Source organism: Homo sapiens, chromosome 12 (genome assembly GCF_000001405.40).
Source record: "Homo sapiens chromosome 12, GRCh38.p14 Primary Assembly".
Taxonomy (NCBI): domain Eukaryota; kingdom Metazoa; phylum Chordata; class Mammalia; order Primates; family Hominidae; genus Homo; species Homo sapiens.
This window is the reverse complement of record NC_000012.12, coordinates 3462496-3482588: the sequence shown is the minus strand read 5'-3', so window position 1 is coordinate 3482588 and position 20093 is coordinate 3462496. Positions and strand designations below refer to the sequence as shown.

General features: G+C 47.3%; 1 protein-coding gene and 1 pseudogene across 1 annotated transcript in view; both read right to left on the bottom strand.

Annotated features, from left to right (window-relative positions):
• The window catches only part of PRMT8 (protein arginine methyltransferase 8), a 212625-nt gene that overhangs the window by 111385 nt on the left and 81147 nt on the right, over positions 1-20093 (bottom strand). The window lies entirely within an intron of this gene.
• On the bottom strand, positions 13230-13666 carry RPS26P44 (ribosomal protein S26 pseudogene 44; annotated as a pseudogene).

The window sequence follows — 20093 nt, the reverse complement described above, 5'->3', positions numbered from 1 at the left end:
GCTGCAGCTCTTTCTTTCACATCCACTTAGTAACTTCTCCAAGTGCTGTCACTCCAGCTTGCACACCATATTTGCAGGTGTTGAAGACATAGCTTTTTATTTTTTAACTTCTAGAAAACTGGGCTTACATACTGCCCAGATCTGCTATGCAACGACATCAGGACTTAGTTAGTGCATCCTGAGCAAATGTGGGCTTCATCACAGGAAGGAAGGAAAGATCTAGCACCTTGGCAAGTGGCTGGTGGAGGAAGGAGGAGGAGAATAGTATCAGAACAACTTTGCATATATGCCCCAACTCTTTTCCAACCTACAAAGATGGTCTTTTCTTTTCTTCCTTTCGCCTTCTTTTTTAAAACCAATCTATTGTCATCTCGGGCAGGATAGTCCATGCTACACTGGGATTAATTTAAACTGAACATCTGTACCTTTTCCTCCTGGCCCATAAAACAAGTCCTGGAAGATTCAAGTCAGAGTTTGTGACTGGAGGGCTCTGAGCAAATCTTGCCCTTTTCCTTCAGCCTCATTTTATCTCAAGTTAGCTGAGACAAAGATTGGGCCTCTCCCTTCCTTTCCCCGATTGGATAACAGAGTCCCTGAAGCCATTCTCATCACTATCCTTTTGCAGACAGACTTTGGCACAGACTTTCTAGTCATGTAGAATCATAGCCTAAATTTGGTTGCATTCGAAGGGAAGAGCTTGGGCCTGTGAGCTTCTGGGCCACTTTGGTCCATCAGCATCTCAGGAGAGCTTCTAAGGATCTAAGAGGAGCTCAAGTATCACCAGGCCATGACAGCTAGTGTCACACCATGTAACAATTGTCCAAAGTTCCTCTTCTGGGCCCCTCTTGAGACAAAGCTCCCCGCCACCAAGGACTTCCAGGAGACCCTGCAGGACCACATCATAGGTTCACGTCTTCTTCACCTCTGGCTGCCCTCAGTCAATACTCCATAACCTCGAGGTTGCTTTCAGAAGCCCTGCTGTTGCTCACATTAACAGTGTCCCTCATGAGGTGGTCGAGGGCTATGCCAGGGCTGCTGCATCCCAGTACTCTCAGAGCTGGATGTTGTGCAGAATTAGATGAGCCCTAACCCCACTCCCTGTGTTCAGAGTTCCAAGGCTCCTGGAGAAGCGCCCTTTCAGTTTCTGGCCCTAACTCTTCCATTCCTCTGTAAGGGCACAAAAGCCAGTGTCAGGGTGGAGTGCAGATGACACCCCTTCCCCTCTGTTGTCTAGGTCTTTTGCCCCATCTTCCACTCACAGGATAATAAGACAGACTTGTCCTCTCTTGAGCCATAGACAAAAGTGCCCATAAAGGTCAATCCATGCAAGGGAAGCCTTGGGGGAGGAGAGAGGGCACCTGTTACAGAGAAAGCACTGGGCTGGCTGCTCTCAGATAGTATGTGGGGTGGGCAGCCCTGCCTCTCCCTCTGGGTTTCCCTGGGAAGGGGATTTCCCAGCAGTGTGCCTGGGCCATGGTCTGTCTTCTGCATTTGGTCAGGCAGATAGTAGCGTTTATCAAATATCCACAAAAGAGTGGACCCACCTTCAAATCAGTCTCACATGCATCCTCCCATGTGAACTCCCTGTCCTGGCCCCTCCTCTAGACCGCCACCACCTCTTGTGGATATCAGCTCTCAGAGGAACAGCCTTTCCTGTTTATTAGCTATCAACACTTAGCTTTCCCAGAGGGACTTCTGTTTCAAAAGGAGATTCTGGAAGAAAGCCTCCTAAGCTCAAGTTACAAGAGAAAGAATCTCTAATGGTGGGAGGTCAAGCACCAGTTACAGGCTGGTGTGAGCATGATTTTGGGGGTGGAAGTTCACCCTGCACTCTTTAAAATCATGTTACACTGGTATTTAATTCTGCCTGCCAGTAAGTTATGCCGTGGACTATAGGCATCAGAGAAAGCATGAAGCTATAAGAAAGCGGTGGGGGGAGGAAGCACTGAACTAAAGTCAGGAGAATCAAATTCTAGTCCCAGCTCTGCCACAAGTTACTGGAGACCTCAGGGAAGGTGGGTGTCAAGAAAAAGACCCCTGAGAAATGGGGGTGGGGAGTGGTTAAGGTATGCTTCTGCCCTTAAAGTCCCTCGTATTCCTGGTTTTCATTTCTTCCTCTATAATGTGAGAAGTTTGGACAAGTTGAATTTGTCACTTTCAACTCTTCCATTCTAAGATTGTGAACCCTGTGACTGGCATTCAGAGTACAGATACTGTCCCCAGTTCTTGGAACAAGCAAGGGGGAAGAAGGAAGAAGTACTGGGAAAGCCTGTGCTCTGGGGCTCAGGCACTTGGGCCTCAAGAATAACCAACCCTACCTACCTTCCAGGTTGTTTTTCTTTAAAAAAACATTTTTTAAGCTTTAATTTAAATACCGCCTTTTCCCCATGAAGAGCTCAAATGCTCATGGTCTTTGGGCAGAAATCATCTGTTTTAAAATATGGCATTCAAGCCAGACTTGCAGAGAAGGTCTTTCTAAATAGAAATTTTAAAGAAATATGCCCATCAGGGTTTGTCCATTATCCATGTCCATGGAAGAGGCTTGCTGATGAAATGCATCTGTGGACTGCTACTTCTGGGTATCATTTTGCCAGGCGACCCTGAACAACAGCCTGTCCCTCTCCCATCCTCCCCCTCACACGTTTTAACCTTTTCTACCTCTACCATAGTTTCCTCTCATTCTGCTCAGCTGGTTTTAAGTGGGTATATAGTGCCTGATGCATGAAAAAAAAAAATCTGAGAGTAGAAACTGACACTAACATGTAACAAATAAAAACTCTCTACAGCAGGTTCAAGAACCAAGAGGCCTTCTTATTCCTAGGCAAAGATGGCATAAGGCCAAGGGCATTGAGTGCTCTTTATGGGGTGGGGAAAATTCTCAGGCTGGCCCTTTCCATAAGTCATAGTGGGTCTGCAGAAGAGTGACTTAACCCTTCTTGGTCCACAGCAAGAAATGCAGGAAAGCCTTCCCAAGAGATGCTACAGTAGCCGCTTCTTTAGGGGAGTATTTTTTTTTCTTAAAAAATTGAGACGATGGCTATCTGAGGAAACTGGTTCAAATTCCATCCTCTCCAGTGCCAAGAGACAGGACATAACAGCTTCAAGGGCTTCTTCTAGGTTGTACATCCTATGATGACAATAAAAGGACTAAAAAAAATTAGCCAAGTCCATGGGGCTTTTTTGAACACAATCAGTTAGGCACAGTGTCCAGTCTCCTTCCTATCTGGAGAGCCAAGGGGCAATGGCGGAAAAGCCAAGAGACAGATGCCCACCCAGGTGAAGGAAGATCGAGGGGGCTCTGTTTCATGGAGGGCCAGGCCCAAGTGAGAGCTGGGGGGAAGCCATTGGGAGGCATGAACCTGTCCTGGGAACATTAGTCCCACTTGGTTTTCTCAAACCCAATTAGGCAGAGGACAGAAATTTGAGGGGAAAGAATTACTTTAATAACCTACGAATTTTTAAAGAGCCTCCAAACTATCCTCTGTGGAGAAGCCTGCCAGGGAATCCAGGCCACTTCCCAGTCAGAGCCTGCTGTACCCTGACTCTGACTCTGGTCACCCGTGAGGCCGCCCCTTGGCCTCCTCTTTCTCACACCTACCCAGGAAGCTTACCCAGGTGCTTACAGCAGCACGTACAGCCTCCAACAGCAACTGTTACTTTCTTCCTAATGCTTCCCTGTAACTTTTATTTTTTAAAACTAACTGTGGAATCATTGACCTAGTGACTGATTTCAAGTAGATGCCAACCTTGGGACATGATGGTGATCTCAGGCCCCAGGAGGGCAGCTTGCACTTGCCCCTCTCTATTTCTTCAGATTCCCTGAGGATTGATAAGCTGGAGAGAGACCCTAATATTTTCCATTAATAACAGGTGACCACATGAGCTAATACCCATTGGTAGCTCCTGACTTCAACTTTTTAACCCTTCTGAAATATTAGGAAAATTCAGATTCTAGGGAATGGAATAGGCCTTTGTCAGTGCAAGAAGAAAGTGTATCTTCTTCCTCTGCTGCCTTAGAAGCACCTAGAGAAGCTCAGGAATATATAGTCTCCTTTCATGTCATCTGAGGGAAAGCCAAGGTACAAGGTTCTCTTCTGCAATTCACCCTTACTATCAAGGAAGCAGTCACAACCAGAAATGAACCATGGCTTCCTTCAGAAGGTGGAGGGGCCCAAGCCAAGGTTCTGTAGAATAAATCCCTGCATGGCCTGGCAGGGTGGACCACAGGGTATCATCTATAACCTCATGATTAGATAGACAGACAGATAGATAGGTAGGTAGATAGATAGATAGATAGATAGATAGATAGATAGATAGATAGATAGATGATAGGTGGATCAATAGATATAAATATATGATGGATAGGATGAAGACTCCATTTCTTTCCATTGGAGAGTTCAGTCTACTCCTTTTCATTAATTATGTGGCTACTTCCTCTCAACTCACCCAGGCCCTGTCCTGTCCTCAAAGTCCGATTAAGTTTCCAAACCTTTCCTGGGCCTCCCAACCCACAGGAAATCTTCTTTTTCTTCTTTACACTCTTAGAGCATTATAGATGATGCCACCCATTCTGACACCTCATCTTATAGAGGACCATCCTCCCCTAGCCAGCAGTTACATCCAGCTACTGTGATTATACAGAATACAACCTAAGAGAAAGGAAGGAAAACATCCTCAGAAAGGTAGGAGAATATTTATTCCATTATTCATGCAACACCCAACCACCAAACCAGAGCTTATTAACTTTGAGCTGGATATAAAGTTAAGCTTGCTCATAAAATAGTTCTCTTGTTCCTCCAAGTCAATCTTCAGTCTTAATGGTTACAGCCCATTCGGGTACAGGAGCAGTGGGGACTTTATGTAATGAGAAACGACCGCCAGTGGTTTGGAAGGAAAAAGCACCAACAATCGGAAAAGGTTGAGAGATATTCAAGGAAGGGCGAGTTTGGCGCACACTATCAAAAAGAGATAAAATTGTGTTCTGTGAATTCTTTTTTAGGAGGCAGAGGAGGGTATCTTTTTAAAAATCTCTATCAGAAGTGTTCAAATAAAATGTTTCAGAACTCAACGTCAATAAGACTACATGATGCAAGAAAATCCAGGTGCTTGGGACACCTCACGTCCAAGCCAAGACAAAGAAAACTCAAGCCACCTCCCCCTTCCTTGCTGTACAGGTGCTTGGCTATTTCAGGTTATACCTCTTGGTTTCTCACTGTAAGCTCCAAAGGACAGGCCATGCCTTCTGTTTCATTTCCCTCTCAATGCCCAGTCCAGTGCGGAGCACTTAGAAGGTGCCTACACACTCGTTAAGTGAATAAACGAATGAATGAACACCTCTCAGTTCTGATTCCTTCCTCTAATATTTTAGTCCCACTGGCTTTTATGACTTTGGAGAATGACCAGGAAACAGGTTTCTAAAAATAATTTTTGAACTAGGTAGCCTTGTTACTAGACCACAGTTTCAAGAGCGTCAGTTGGTCTGCAGCCCCCCAGTTCTCATCACCCCAACTTTAAGCTTCTCCTCATTCCCATCACAATGATAAAGAAAATGAGGTCTCGCCTATAGTCAATCACACTCCAGGCTGACCCTACAAATAGAAGTTCCCAAACAAAACAGTGCAGGATACGGATTCTCTCTAAAATGCTTCCCAATTTCTCCATGGCCTGGACCTTGTGGGCCCAGCTCTTGAGGGGCTCTCCTCTCTCCACCACTCACTAAGTGGACAGACTCGAAGCCCAGTGCCTACTTAGCTCACAGTCTTGCTGCATGCATAGATGCTCACATCCAAACCCACAAATGTAGCTGCAGACACTTTGACAGGTAGACAGGAGAAAGAATACAAGAGGCTGCTGTTGAAGTTCCCAGGGAAGGCATCCTTCCACTGGCTATTCTGATTTAGCCCAACCTGAAGAGAACTTTGCCTAAGAAAGCTTTTTTTGCAATGACTCATCCAGTCCACCTTGTCTCATGACCTTTCTGCAGAGCGACGAGCAAAACTCCTATCCTAAGAGAGAGAGATGGGAGAGGGAGAGGGAACACATGCTTGCTAATGAGCCAGGGATGAGGCTCTTGTTGAAAGGCCTAGAGCACCTGTGGGCCTTCTGGACAGATGCAGACCAGCTCGCAGGCACTTCCCTGGTTCACTGTTTATGTACCTGCCAATAACAAAACCTAATTCAAGCAGAAAATCAGATTCCTTGAAAGAAATGGTCTGTCTGAGACCAGCAGACGCAGGCTCCCAGTACCCAACAAGCCCACGTGTCTGGCACCCTACATAGAGGAGAACTCACCCTGTTTTAAAGACCTCTGCGGAAAGGTTACAAACGCTCAGATTTCCAAAAACATCTTGACTTCTAGCAAGGAGTGTTGGTGTGTGTCTGGCCTAAACCACTCCCACTTAGAGCTGAAGCTCCCTTCAGATTGCTTGGTTCCCAGTAGGGCTAGAAAGTGTCTGGCTCTCTGCTCTGGAAACTCAGTGTTTAGAGGGAAAATGAAGTCATTTTTATTATCAGTCTTAGGACCTGTTACTCAAATGAGATTGTCCCTCTATAAAGGTGTCCAGATCCTAAAGGCTCTGCTGAGTTTCCAGCCCAATGCTATTTCTTAGCAAATTATAAGAAAGGCAACTTTGAAAGCTCTGACATGGAAAAGGTGTCTATAAACAGAATTGGAGGCATAGAATTCCTGACTCCTCAGACCCTTCTCCACATACATCATACACCCACAGGATGTAGAAGAGAATGAGCATAACAAACAAGAGTGTTCTGGGACACCAGGCCGCCTTCCCCCTCCCTCCCCAAGAATCAGCAGCCGAGGCCCCCCATCCCAACCCTCCCCCTCCACACCCCACGGTACTGGAAGGGAGGCCCTGCTCAGGCCCTTTCAGGACAAGGAATGGGGAGCTATCTGCAGAGGCCTTGCAATCTGCCTCCACTTCTGTTACAGACCAAAAGTGGCGAATACCCCAGTGATGTCTAACAACTCAGGAGGTGGTAGCGTTCTCTAGACATAAGGACGCTGCGGACAGAGGGCTGGTGAGCCAGCCTGACCCGGATCCCGAGGCAGAAAAAGTCCCCAGAGCTCCCTCTAACTAAAAACAGGCAGGCTCACTTGTGATCTGCTGGAAAGTAATGTTCTGAGACTCTCTGTCCTGCCTGAAAACTGATTTAAAAACAAAACCTAAAACCAGTTTGGTGGTAAAAGTCAGTCCTTATCTGACAGTCCCTGGGGCAAATGTCCACGATTCTATCAGCTAGCCAGAATAAGAAATCGTGCATTTCCTGTGGGACTTTTTTCTGCCCTTCCCCTCCCAAACTTCCTCTGCCTCCTGCCCACAATGTCCCCCTCTCCTTCATGACTGCCACCACTCCAGGACCTCCAAGCCAACCCAAGATGTTCCACGGCCACTGGGTTTGGTTTGCACTAGGCGAAGTGAGGGCCCAGCCGCCTCCTGTTAGACTTCCCTTCTTTTAGTGGCCAGGCAGTCAGCCATGAGATCTATGATGAGAGTCACCTGTCTGCTAATTCTACAGGTCACCATGCTGCTAGGAGCCTGCCCTCAGGGAGCCTCACAGTGTGAGGGTGGGCTGGATGACAGCCACCGTGCCTGAGAAGAGCAGAACAATAACCAAGAAACAATGAGAGCAAGGGCATTTAAATGCCATCTGGATTTGAATTCCATGTTTGTTTGTCCATCCAGCAAATGTTCACTGACAGCCTAATATGTCAGGTCCCATGCTAGGTGCTGGGGATATGAAGATAAATAAGACATGATTCCTACCCTTGAGGAGATTCCGTGCAAGGGGAAGAGCACATGAGAGGGAAGGCAATTGCAAGATGAGAAAGTGAAGGCCTTATGGGGGCAAGCAGACTGCTTTGGAACCTTTAGGAGAAGCAGCTCATCTTGCTGCTTAGGAGAAGCTTCCAGCAGGTCATTCCTGAAGGGAATCTTCAGTGACTGTGAGGGGTTAGTCAAGCAAAGAGGAGGAAGGCCAGGGGAGAGCATGGAGTCTGCACAGTGTCAGCTGGTGGAGATGAGGCACAGCTTCTCTGGGGAGGACAAGCCCCTCAGGATGACTGGAGCAGAGAGCATCGGGTGAAAAGCCAACAGGAAGAGACAGGTGGGGGATGGGCTGGGAGCAGAAACCATGGGTCCCGCATGCTGGGTGGCTGCAGCAGAGAAAAAGGCAAATGGAAGAACAAAGGCGCAAAAGTGTGCATTTTATCCTCTTTACACTCGTGAAGCAGGCAGGGTACCCCCATTATACACAAAAAAACACAGAAGCTTATAGAGGCTAAGTAACTTACTCAAAGTCACACAGCAAAAATGCTGCCAGGATCTGAACCTGGGCCTATCTGAGCCCCTCTCTCCAAGTGCAAGCCCCTCACCGTGTGATGTGAAGGGACTTGGATGCCCCACTAAGGAGTGTGGACTTTATCCTGAAGGCAGTGGGGTTACCCTGAAGAATCTCAAGCTGGAGGAGGGCAGGGCATGAGCCAATTTGCATTTGTAGAAGCTCATTCAGGCAGCTGTGTGAATGGACTGGGGGAATCCACAAACCCAGAAGAGGAAGAGTTGAGTGGCCATTGTGTTAACCCCAGCAAGGAATGGCAGGGTCTGGAGTGGATGGGAGCAGCAGGGATGAAGAGAAGGGTGACCTCCACAGAGATTGAGAAGGTGGGCAGACGGGACAATGACACAAGGATGGGGTGTCGGCCTGAAGGAGAAGGAACTGCCCAGGATGAGAGGGAGAAGCAGGGAATACGCCCAGCTAAACTAAGGCGGGGCTGGGGCTCATGGGATGATTTATTTGGCCAATTGGGTGGTTGGAGACAATATTTACCAAGATAGGCAATAAAGGAGCAGAATAAAGGAGAGGATTTGGGGGTGAGAGAAGGAACTTTGTTGTGGGGGTGGCCAAGAGGAGATGCCCAGGTGACAGGTGGCCGTGCAGACCTGGTCCTTAGGAAACACACCTGGGCTCTAGATCCCAGTGGGGAGTTGTCAGCAACACAGGGGTCGTTGGGCCTTTGAAGAGAATCAGCTCACCCAAGGAGAAAGTATTGATTGGGAACTGCAGAGAGCACAGGACTCTGGAAAACTCCGATCTTTAAGTGAGGTGGGCAGAGGTAGAGGCTCTCAGGAAGAAGGCTGAAGAAGACCAGCTAGAGAGGCAGAGGAGAACCAGAGGCAGCACCATTGGGGAAGTCGAAACAGGAGACCGTTCTGGGTGGAGCGATCAGCTGCATCCCATGGAGAAGCCTGGAGGTCCGTGAGGCCTGAGAAGCCGTGTCTGTTGGGCTTTATGATCCAAAGGTCAGCAGGGATTTCAGCCCAAGGGGTTGCATGGAATGTTCTTGGGGAGAGGGGAGCTGTGAAAGTCAGATTGTGAGGGATGAGAAGTGAGGGAGGGGAACATAAAGACAGTGCATGCAGGTGATGCTTTCAAGAACTTTCTACTGTATATAGAAGTGATGATGAGGCCACAGTTTCATAGGGACAAAGGGCTGAGAGGAGGTCTTGTTATAATTCCATTGAAAGCGCCTGGGGCATGTTTGAATGCCAGTGGGGAAGAGCTGGAGGTGGGGTGGGAATGGCATGGTAAGGGAGATATAAAATACGAGAACTGGTTGGTTTGGGCACCACTGGTAGAATTCCCCTCATATTTGATCCTGGTCCTTCCCAGCGCTTCCCCAAGACCTGGCTTCTGGAACACAGCCCCTGCCTGCCAGACACTTTAGCCTGGCCGTGGCTCCACAGCCTCCCTAGTTCCCTGGGTGGTGAAGAGAAACATGGAGCTTTGGACCTCCCATTCATTTCCCTCTCTCCACCACAGTCAAGCAGCTAAGTGTCCCAGGCTTCTCCATGCACCCTGCATATGGAGACCGAGATGCTCTGACCCTCCTATCCCTTTGAGTCAGCCTAATGATTACAGCCATCAAAGCTTACTGGGTCAGGCCCTGTGCTAGAAAACACAGAGTCACTTGGACTTCCCAAAGAACTTCTAAGTGGGCATTATCCTAGCCTTACAGTTGAGGGAAAGGAGGCTCAGAGAAGTTAAGTAACTTGTCCCAATGTCACACAGCTTGCAAGCGGCAGAGCCGGGATTCAAAGTGAGGCCTTTCTTACACCAAAGCCAAGCACCTTTACCCACTCCTGTCCTGCCTTCAGTGAAGGGCTGCGGACAAATTCATGTTTCATTTATTCATCCATCCATTCATTCATTTATCAAACAGTTAAGCATTTACTATGCTCACAATACCACTTGGAAATTTAGAAATGTAAAGTTTAGCATAACAAGGAAAAGGCTGAGGCCAGCCGGAATGTCAAGCAAACAGAGGCCCTGGGGAAGCCATTTCACAGGGCAATCTGTGGATCACCTCCTGTAGCCAGAAGGAACACCACACACCTTTCCGATCACCTTTTCTTGTTCTCAGTTACAGAACCGCCTGACATTGGCTGCAACCTGATGGGGAGATCTGACTCAAGGAACAGTACGATGGCCATTGATGTCCCCGCCCACGCACTCTGTAGAAGCCTTGGGAATCTTTTCAAAGCACTGCCCCCACCCGAGAGCATCATGACTTCTGTTGCTGGGACAAAGGTTCAGAGAGGCCAAGTCTTGGGAGACCCGCTCTTCCCTCATTCAACATTCTCCTACCCTCACCCCGCTACCTTACCATCAATGTAAGCAGAGAAAGCCCCTCCACAGGGCAAAAAAGCCCATCTTTGGCAAGCCCACCATCCCAGCTGCAGCTGATTCCACCAGGGACGGGCGCCTGCCTCCAGCCCAGTTGTGTCTTGGTGGCCCAGCATGGAAGTGGGTACTTACAAGGGCCATGGTGACCAATCAGCCTTATTAAATTCTCTCAGTAAGTGTGAATGTGAGAGAAAAGGCAGCTGCTCGTGTGACTAGAGGCTAAAAGCCACACAGAGCAGAGCCATGAACAAGCAGAAGTTGGGGTGAGCAGATGCCCCATGCTGGTTGAGGGAGCCCAGGGGTTGGGGGACTCAGGGCCAAGGGGGGGTGACTGAGGAGGCATCGTGCTGGGAAGATGGGGAGACAACCAGATCCTCGGAGCCCTGAAGACCCAGAGTCCTGGTCCAGGCTCTGAAAACAAATCTGCCCTTGGTGTTTATGGAAACCTGAGGATTGGTGGCCTTTTGATTTCCAGAAATATCCTTACCATAAATCCCCATTGCTGACAGTAACCTGGAAGGGTCTCTGTGGCCCTGAGGGATTCTGACTGATACTTAGGCTCTAAGCACCTGGGGTTTGCAGAGAGAGTAGGGGAGAGCTGGGAGCAGAGCAAGCCACCGCACTCCCACTCTTGCCTGTTTTCATTCCACCTTGCCCCTCTCCTTCCCGCCACAGTGACAGACTGCACCCACCCAGAAGGAAGCCCTGGGTCAAGGCTTTGGGTCTCAGTCCAATCTCTTAAAGTGCAGCCTTCAGACAGGCACCTCTGTCACTACCACTTGCTGCTCTATGAAGAAACCACCGCTCCTTCTGCTTCTCTGAGCGCTGCGTCACTTGGTTCCAGGCCCCTAGAGCTTTAGACACGTGTCACCATCTCTTCATTTTCAACCCCCAGCTTCCGCCCAGGATGGCCTGAAGGAAAGCCCCACTGTCAGAGTGGGAGTCGTCCCATTAAGCCTGTCTTTTGCAGGAGCAGGTTTGAATTGTCATCTTTAAAAACTCCAAAATACTTACTTTACAAAGCAGGCCCTGTGTCCCAGAGCTTGCAGCAAGTGGGGACCTTAGGTGAAATCGCCTGAGTGTGGAAGTGGCGATGTACAGCTGAAGAGATAATCTGAATTCACCAGGCTGGTGTGGAGTTGAAAGCAGGCCCCGGTTCTGTCCCTCCATCCCTGAGGCCCCTCCCATCCCCCCGCCCTGGACACCGGGACCACAGAGGCAGTGCTGTGTGCCAGCCTCACTCCTGCGTATTCTGGAGACCCTGTTCCAGGAAGGAGGTTTCCCCACACCTGCCCCATGCCCCCCACCCAGCAAACTCCAGTGGGCAGAACCACGCCAGCAACGGCTTCACAGTGAGGCCCTGGAGGGACGGAGCTCACAGACCTCCCACTTAGTGAGAAAAACATGGTAGACAGCCTGGGGAAGGTTGGCAGGTTCAAACAGAGCCCTCACCACATCCCCTGCCCAGCCCCTACCATCCGACCTCTTCCCTCCACCTGGACTCAGCACTGTCCTGAGTCCCTGTGTAAGAGCACATTGAGTCCTATGGAAAAACAACCAAAGTGAGAACAATTGCTGCAGTTGCCATGAGGCCCTGGATGCCCAGAGGACTGGAGGCCTTGACACCCTCTGACTCGGCCCCTCTCAGGGGATCCTGAGGACTATGGGGATGTTTGCCTCTCCACACACACAGAGCATCCCATTCCCTGCTATTTGAAACCAGGGGTTTCAATATTTCTTTAAAAGGTTGGCAATTTTGAAATTTTTTTTTATGTGTATTCGTTATAATCCGCTCCTCTGCCTTCTTATAATTGAGCGTTTTGAAAATAATTTAACCTTTCCATCATGACTTGGGGTCCTGATGACGAACACCGTTATTGTGTTGAGGTGTCATTCCCCCCAGAGTGCAGGGACCACGTCTCAGTCCTCTGTGTGCTCCTCGGCACCTTGGCCAGCACGTGGCGATGCTGTGTGTGTGTCTGCGGGGTGGCACTGACAGAAGCCCACAGAGCCTCTGACATGGAGGCCGACAGAGCCCTGCTGCTCTAGGCGGCTCTGCTTGATGAATACACATTCCTTAGTGTCTTCCAGATCCTCTCTTGCTATCAGGCTATGAACTTGCCAGATCCTGAGGCCCTTCTTCTTTTTTCCACTTTTTAAAAATTGAGATATCATTCACCTATCATAAAAATCACCCTTTTAAGGTGGTTTTTGTATATATTCACAAAGTTGTGCATCCATTACCACTATCTCATTCTAAACATTTTCAACACTTCCAAAAGGAAATTTCTGGCCAACGGTCACTCCTTACTCTCCCTTCCCCTAACCCCCGGCAACCATGAATCTACCTTCTGTCTCTCTGGATTTGCCTGTTCTGCACATTTTCATGGAAATGGAATCCTGGGCCATGTGGTCCCTTGTACCTGGCTTCTGTCATTTGGATCATGTCTGCAGGGTGCACCTGTGCTGTAGCGTGAACCAGCACTGGAAGCTCTTTTTGCTCCTGCCCCTAAGCATTTCTTCACTTCTAAGGACAATTTCCACTTTATCTTTCTCCAGTAGACTGCCTTCAATCTTAAGGACTCAGCTCCTTACATGGGCTTTGGTGGGGGTCGTGAGGCAGCACGTGAAGGTCTAAATCAGGATGGGGGTGTTTGGTCCTTGCTGGCTTCACTAGATCTGTTCCTGACTACTTTGCTGTGAATTGCACACTCACACAGGAATATAGCTTCACTTACAGCTTGGGAAGCACATAGGCATGGAAGACTCTGGCTTCAGAAATGTCCCTGACTGCTGCGGCCTCCACTGTGTTTCAAATGATGAATTTCTTAATGGCCTTGTTGTCAGGCACGCATTGTGCACAGTTCATGCAGTGAATAGACAGCACGTGGCCATGGCCCTTTTTGGCATAACGCTAGTTCCTTCTTTTCTTTGTCATCTTGGAGGCATGGACTGGAGAGAGGAGCCTTCCTTTATTTCTAATGTTCTATGAGCAGGATAACAAGGCACGCGAGAAGTGCGTGCAAAACAGCATACATAGAGCTTGTGCAAAACTTTCAGTTCTTGTAAAAATGTGGGACATTGGGGGACTTTTATTTCAGGTGTTTCAGGGACATTGCCTGCTTGCTGACCATTTCTTGGCTATTTTCTCAATGGCTAAGGTTTCTGGATAAGTGGGCCCCAGATAAGTATTAATCTGAGACTCATTCATTTCATCTCCATTGTGCTATACATTTTTACAAATCAACTTTCATAACTATTCTCTATTTTGAGTCTCCCATCAGGACTCAAGAGTTGGTGTATGGAAGAAAGAGAAAAGCAGCCTCTAACATCCAGGAATTGGCCTGATGCCAACGACTGGGCCTCAGTGTTGGGAGGAGCTGGCGTGGGTACTGGACCTTGGTGTTCTGTTGCACATACACAATCCCATGGGACCCATATCAGAGATGGGCACTCTGTGACGACAAAGTGAGAGAAAAAGCAAGACTATAATCTTGTCTAAGCACAGACAAAAACAAGGTCTCTGTGCACATCGCAGAACTATCAAACATCTCCTCCTCCTGGCCGATGGGAATGGCTGCTGCCTCTTTCCCAGCCACATCTTCAGTCTTGCTTCATTTTTTCTCGTCTTCTAGGTAAGAATCATTAGGAAACACGATCACAGTAGTGCACCTGCTTACGCACGATATCCAGCCCAGAGAAGGTCCCGCTTCCTAAGCCCTCCTGAGACTCACCAGCCACAAGCCCACATCTATACTAAGTTCTTTCGAAGGCCCTCTTTACTGCTGGACATTCTTCCTTTGTGCAACACGTTAATAAACCCAACTTGGTTCAGCCACAGGTGAGTTCTTGATGGTTTTTAATTCAGGAGGATTGGCAGAAATAGAGGTTCCCTGAGTCAGCCAAAGCCCTCCCTTCTTGGACAAGAGCCCCCGCCTCAGTTAGGGTGGACACAACTGAGACACACAGCTTGTCTCTGCCTGTCTGAGGTGCCAGGTGGCCCACAGCTGGGAGGCAGCTCAGGCTGAATGGAGTCTGATGTTCCCTTGAGGTCCCTTCGCTTCGCTTCAGGTGCGTTCTGTTCTAGGAATGAGGTGCCTGTGAGACTTTTCCTGGTGATCTGATCAGATTTGCCCTGCTCCTCGGTGAAACTGCTTTCTAGCCTTCTGAGAAATGCTCCTACGTCTATCTGCTGGTTGAATGTTGTAAGTGTTGTCTCTAAGTGGAAAGTCCACAGTCGACAGGGGCCTGGGAATTCTGTCCTTAAGCTGGTCTTGGAGGCCACAGCACTCAGGAGCTCTCCTCAGACCAGCATCCATTGGAATGAGCTTTGCGGAGGTTCACCAAAGGGTTTCCACAGCTAAGGGTAGATCTCCCCTCAACCTCGTCTCTGTGGTTTCTGAGAACGGCTCACTTTAAAGTTGTCTCTGCCTGGAATCAGGATTGGGGACAATCAGCCTGTGGCCTCTGACCAAGCTCCAGAAGCAAGAAGTCTCTTCTCAGACTGCTCGGGTGTCTGTGCGACCTTCTTCATCGGAAGTGGCTTTTCCCCAGGCCAAACACCTGCTGCTTCCAGATTTCCTCACTGCCGTGTGAACTCATCTTATGTTTCTGCCACATTTCTTTTTTTTTTTTTTTTTTTTTTTTTGAGATGGAGTCTTGCTCTGTCGCCCAGGCTGGAGTGCAGTGGTGCGATCTCGGCTCACTGCAAGCTCCGCCTCCCAGGTTCATGCCATTCTCCTGCCTCAGCCTCCCGAGTAGCTGGGACTACAGGCACCCGCCACCACGCCCGGTTAATTTTTTTGTATTTTTAGTAGAGACGGGGTTTCCCCGTGTGTTAGCCAAGATGGTCTCGATCTCCTGACCTCGTGATCCACCCGCCTCCGCCTCCCAAAGTGCTGGGATTACTGGCATGAGCTACCGCGCCCAGTCATCTCTGACACAATTTCTTAAGAGACCATTTGAAATTACAGTGGCCACTCTGGGGAATTTTCACATGAATGAGATTGTTCATTTGAGAGGTTCCATACAGCAATAAGTGAAGGAGCTCCATGAAGAGTTTGTTTTGTAGAAAAGAGACATCGATTTGTTTAATGCAGGAGACATTAAACAAACTTTTTCCTTTGTTTCTATACCTCAGGGATTAGTAAGTGCTGCTGTTTTGACAGATTGATAAAACTGTCAAAGGCCCAAGCTATTGTCCAAAACAAGATAATGTCACTAGCTGTTGAGCGTATTTGTCAAAATCTGTTACTCTAACTTTTCTTTTTTCACAAAAAGAACCCATTTAGCCTGATAGTGATAATGTCATACTTATTGGAAGCCAGCTCCCTCTAATATTTTGGTTTCCATCCCTCCATTTTTCTTGGGCTAGAGAACATTGACTCATTATTTTTCAGAAAAGAAAACAGAGGCTCAGAGAGGTTAACTGACTTGCCCAGATTCACACTACTAACCTACAACAGGGCCAGGACTCCACTCAGACTGTGAGACCTGGCCGGGGTTCTGAACAAAAGCACATCTCATTGTGTTGCCTCCCTCAGCACCAAAGAGTCAAAGGAGAGAAACTTGGGGATCATCAGACCGGCCACACCAGAGCTCCCAGAGGTCTCACTCAGTCCCACGAGCCCACAGGATGTCAGCACCATCCGGTCTCACCTCTCAGTTTACAGATCCAGAGACTAAGTCCTGGAAAAGAAATGTGACTTATTCAAGCTCACACAGCAAATTAGTGGCAATGCCCAGACTTAAACCGAGATTGGCAGAGCTTGGCACAGTGCAGCGTCACCTTCCTCCTCCACAGCAGGTGCAGGGAGGGTCCATCCTTCTGGTCACTACAGCATGTTACAGTTTTCTGCGTCAGTGCCCTTCCTCCTAGGAAGAAACCTCTGGGCTGAGTGGCTAGCTCCCCCCTTTCAGCTATGTAGAGTTTCTCTCTGGGCATTTTAGGTAGGAGTGTTGACTACATTTCTTAGGCGTCAGAAGCTATCCCGGCTACAGAGATGAATTAGAAAAAATCAACCCTCCTGCGTATGTGTGCAGAGTTCTCCATCCAAAATAAAGTGTGAGTGAGAAGCAGCAAATGCTATTAGCAGGACAGCAAGCCAAAACGGCTATGCCCTCTGAAAGGTCCTCAAGTCGTCCTCAAACCCACCCATGTAATTACCTTATAAGTTCGTTTTCAAAAATCAGATTCTAAATTTCAGCGTCTGTTTACAGCCAGGTGATCATGGCACTCCCCTGTTCAATAAGCCTCAATGACTCCCTATGCCTTCAAAATAAAGTCACAAATCCCTAACCCATCATCCAGGGCCACTTGTGATCTGGCTCAAACCTGCTTCCAGTAGAATTGCCCACTCTTTCCTTTCCAGGCACTCATCAGATTTCCTAGAAATAACTGCTCCTCTTTCTAAACCCCACAAACAAAAGTTCCCAGAAAAGGAATTTGGAGCAAAGAGACTTTATTCCAGTGGACAGTTTGCACACTTGGGAAACCCGCCTTCAGTGTTAAAATGTAGGTGTGTTCAGAGAACAAAGAGAGGAGTCGGGTTTATTTTATTTTTATTTAATGTATATATAATATATATTTTATTATATATTATATATTTTTTATTTTTATAAATATTTATAAAATATATTTATATAAAAATATATATATTTTATATTTATAAAATATATATAAAAATATATTTATATTTATAAAATATATATATAAATATATATTTTTTTATAAAAAAATTATATATATATATATATATTTTTTTTGAGACAGAGTTTCACTCTCGTTGCCCAGGCTGGAGTGCAATGGCTCATGGTGCAATCTCTGCTCACTGCAACCTCCGCCTCCTGGGTTTAAGCGATTCTCCTGCCTCAGCCTCCCAAGTAGCTGGCATGCACCACCACGCCCGGCTAATTTTGCATTTTTAGTAGAGACAGGGTTTCTCTATGTTGGTCAGGCTGGTCTGGAACTCCAGACCTCAGGTGATCCACCCACCTCGGCCTCCTAAAGTGCTGACATTACAGGTGTGAGCAGGAGTCAGGTTTCATAGCAAAATTTCCTACCCAGGTTTCCCATGAGGTCTGTTTATGCGAATGAAAGATTGAAACTTGCTTAGTTCTGATTGGTTGATACAGTTGAGTCCTGGTTGGCCAGGGCAGATGAGATCTGATTAGTCAGTATCCAAGCTCCAAACCAGAAGTCTGTCAGATGTTTCTTTTAAGGGGTAGAGGCTACAGATACCGGGGTATGGGTCTTTTCTTCCCTTAAGGGCAGGGATTTATTTTTGTTAACCCCATCTAGCAGACAGCTTGGCACAGGATAAGTAATAAATATTGAATAAATGAATGCATGTGTACTTGGAAAAATTACATTTACCCTCCCCCACTCCATGCCTGAAAAAAACCAACTACTACTGAGGAGAGAACGAGTAATGTCTTGATATTTTCTCAAAAGAATATAAACATGAAGCTCAAATTATATAGCAAGTTGAAGAAAGTGTGACACTGCTTTATTTTCAGGGTTTTTGTTTTTTTTCTTAAGGAAACACAGCACGTTAGGAGTTGAGGTGAAGGTCCTGACTGTCTTTGTGGTTTGTGTGCAGTTTGTTTTTTTTTTTTACCAGGATTCATAACTGGGGAAACAAAAGCACCTCTTTGTCTGTATAACTTTGTTCCCTTCCTTTATTGCTTTAAATAGGCAAGATGTGGTTTGCATTTCTTTCACTGCTAATGTTTGCTTTGTGTTCCTTAATAAAAATAACGTGCCGTTCACATTGCTCTCAAAGGTCGCTAAAGATCCCCTCCCCGCTTAGTCATTCCACTCATTTGTAACCAAGATCCTCAGTGCTGCTAACAGAGGCTCCCTCCGCCCCGTATCTTCTGTGCATAAAGCAGTAGACAGTGGGTCCAGTTATATTAAACATCCGGTAATATTGGTACCTTTAACTTTGCTATGAGAATCCTCAAGACGGAAGCATTATCCTCTGCTTACAAATGCTGTAGGTGAGGATGTGCATCAACCCTCCCAGGAGTATAGGGATCATCACCATCACCATTGTAAGATGACAGCTCTTTACAGTTCACATATCTTTGTCCTGGTTATTCTCCCTCTTAATCATTGAGAGTCTTGTGGCCAGGTGCAGTGGCTCATGCCTGTAATTCTAGTGCTTGGAGAAGCTGAGGCAGGAGGATTGCTTGAGAGGAGGTGGAGGTTACAGTGAACTATGACCTCAACACCACTGCACTCCAGCCTGGGTGACAGAGCAAGAGCCTATCTCTAAAATTAATTATTTTAAGAGTCCTGCAAGATGGGTGTAAATCTTTCTAGAGCACAGCTGAAAAGTTAAATGGCTTGTCCTAGAGTACACAGCTCAGCAGAGCCAAGAGTAAAATGGAAATCCAGTGCTTTTCCATCTATGCTGCAGTGAACCTCCACTAGAGTTTTATGCAAGTCCAACCTCCCAGCAATAGGGAGAAAAAGCAATTATAGCCTTTCTTGATATTTAACCTAGCTAAAAACTTCAGCCCAGAGAAAATCTTCCAAAAGTCCAAGACAGACAGGTCTGGATGTGTATACTTTCCCCCATCAACCATAACCTTAAATCTGAAGCCAGGAATTAGAAAGAAATTCTCAGGGTAACACAATTGTTTCACTCATGAAGTCTCACTTCCAGCATCAGTGAGACTAGCTGTGAGACTCGGGCAAATTACTTAACCTTAATTTCCTCAGTCTGTAAAATGGGGATATAATATTGGGTAACACACTAAGCATAATGTCAGGGATATAATTTGGATGTTTGTGTCTCCATCCTCCCAGATGTCCCTGATCCCACTGTAACCCAACCCCAGGTTCTAGGGCCTTCTTCTGCCAATTTCACAGTTTCTATACATATTTTCCAGGCACTTCTACCGCTCACCACCCTCCAAAAGGGACTGAGCCCTAAGCTTGTGCAGTGATTAATGCTTTCCATGTCTTTTCCATCCGCCTGCAGTTATGCTACAAGATCTCTGGGTAAAGGACTAGCCAGGTCTGTCTAACACATACTTTTTGGTGTGACTTAACAGACTGGTTTCTACCACTTTCAGCCTGAAGTGACAGTGCTTTTAAATGTTGGTTGCAGGCAGGGGACTATTGCCCCCTCCCAAGCACTTCAACTTCCTTGGCTTCTGTCTGTCCCTGCCAGCAGCTCTTCATGGGACCCATCCTGACACTCAACGAAAGCAGAAAAGGGAGTTCCTGATGCAAAAAGTAAAGAGCTTTCATCTGAGGAAGGTGGGTCCTTTTAAGTCATCAGGCCTGGAGAGACAGTAAAATGAGAGCAATCATGTCCCACTCCTTCTTTTGAGCTATATATTCATTTTTTAAAACTGCTTGCTATTGCCACATATAGCTC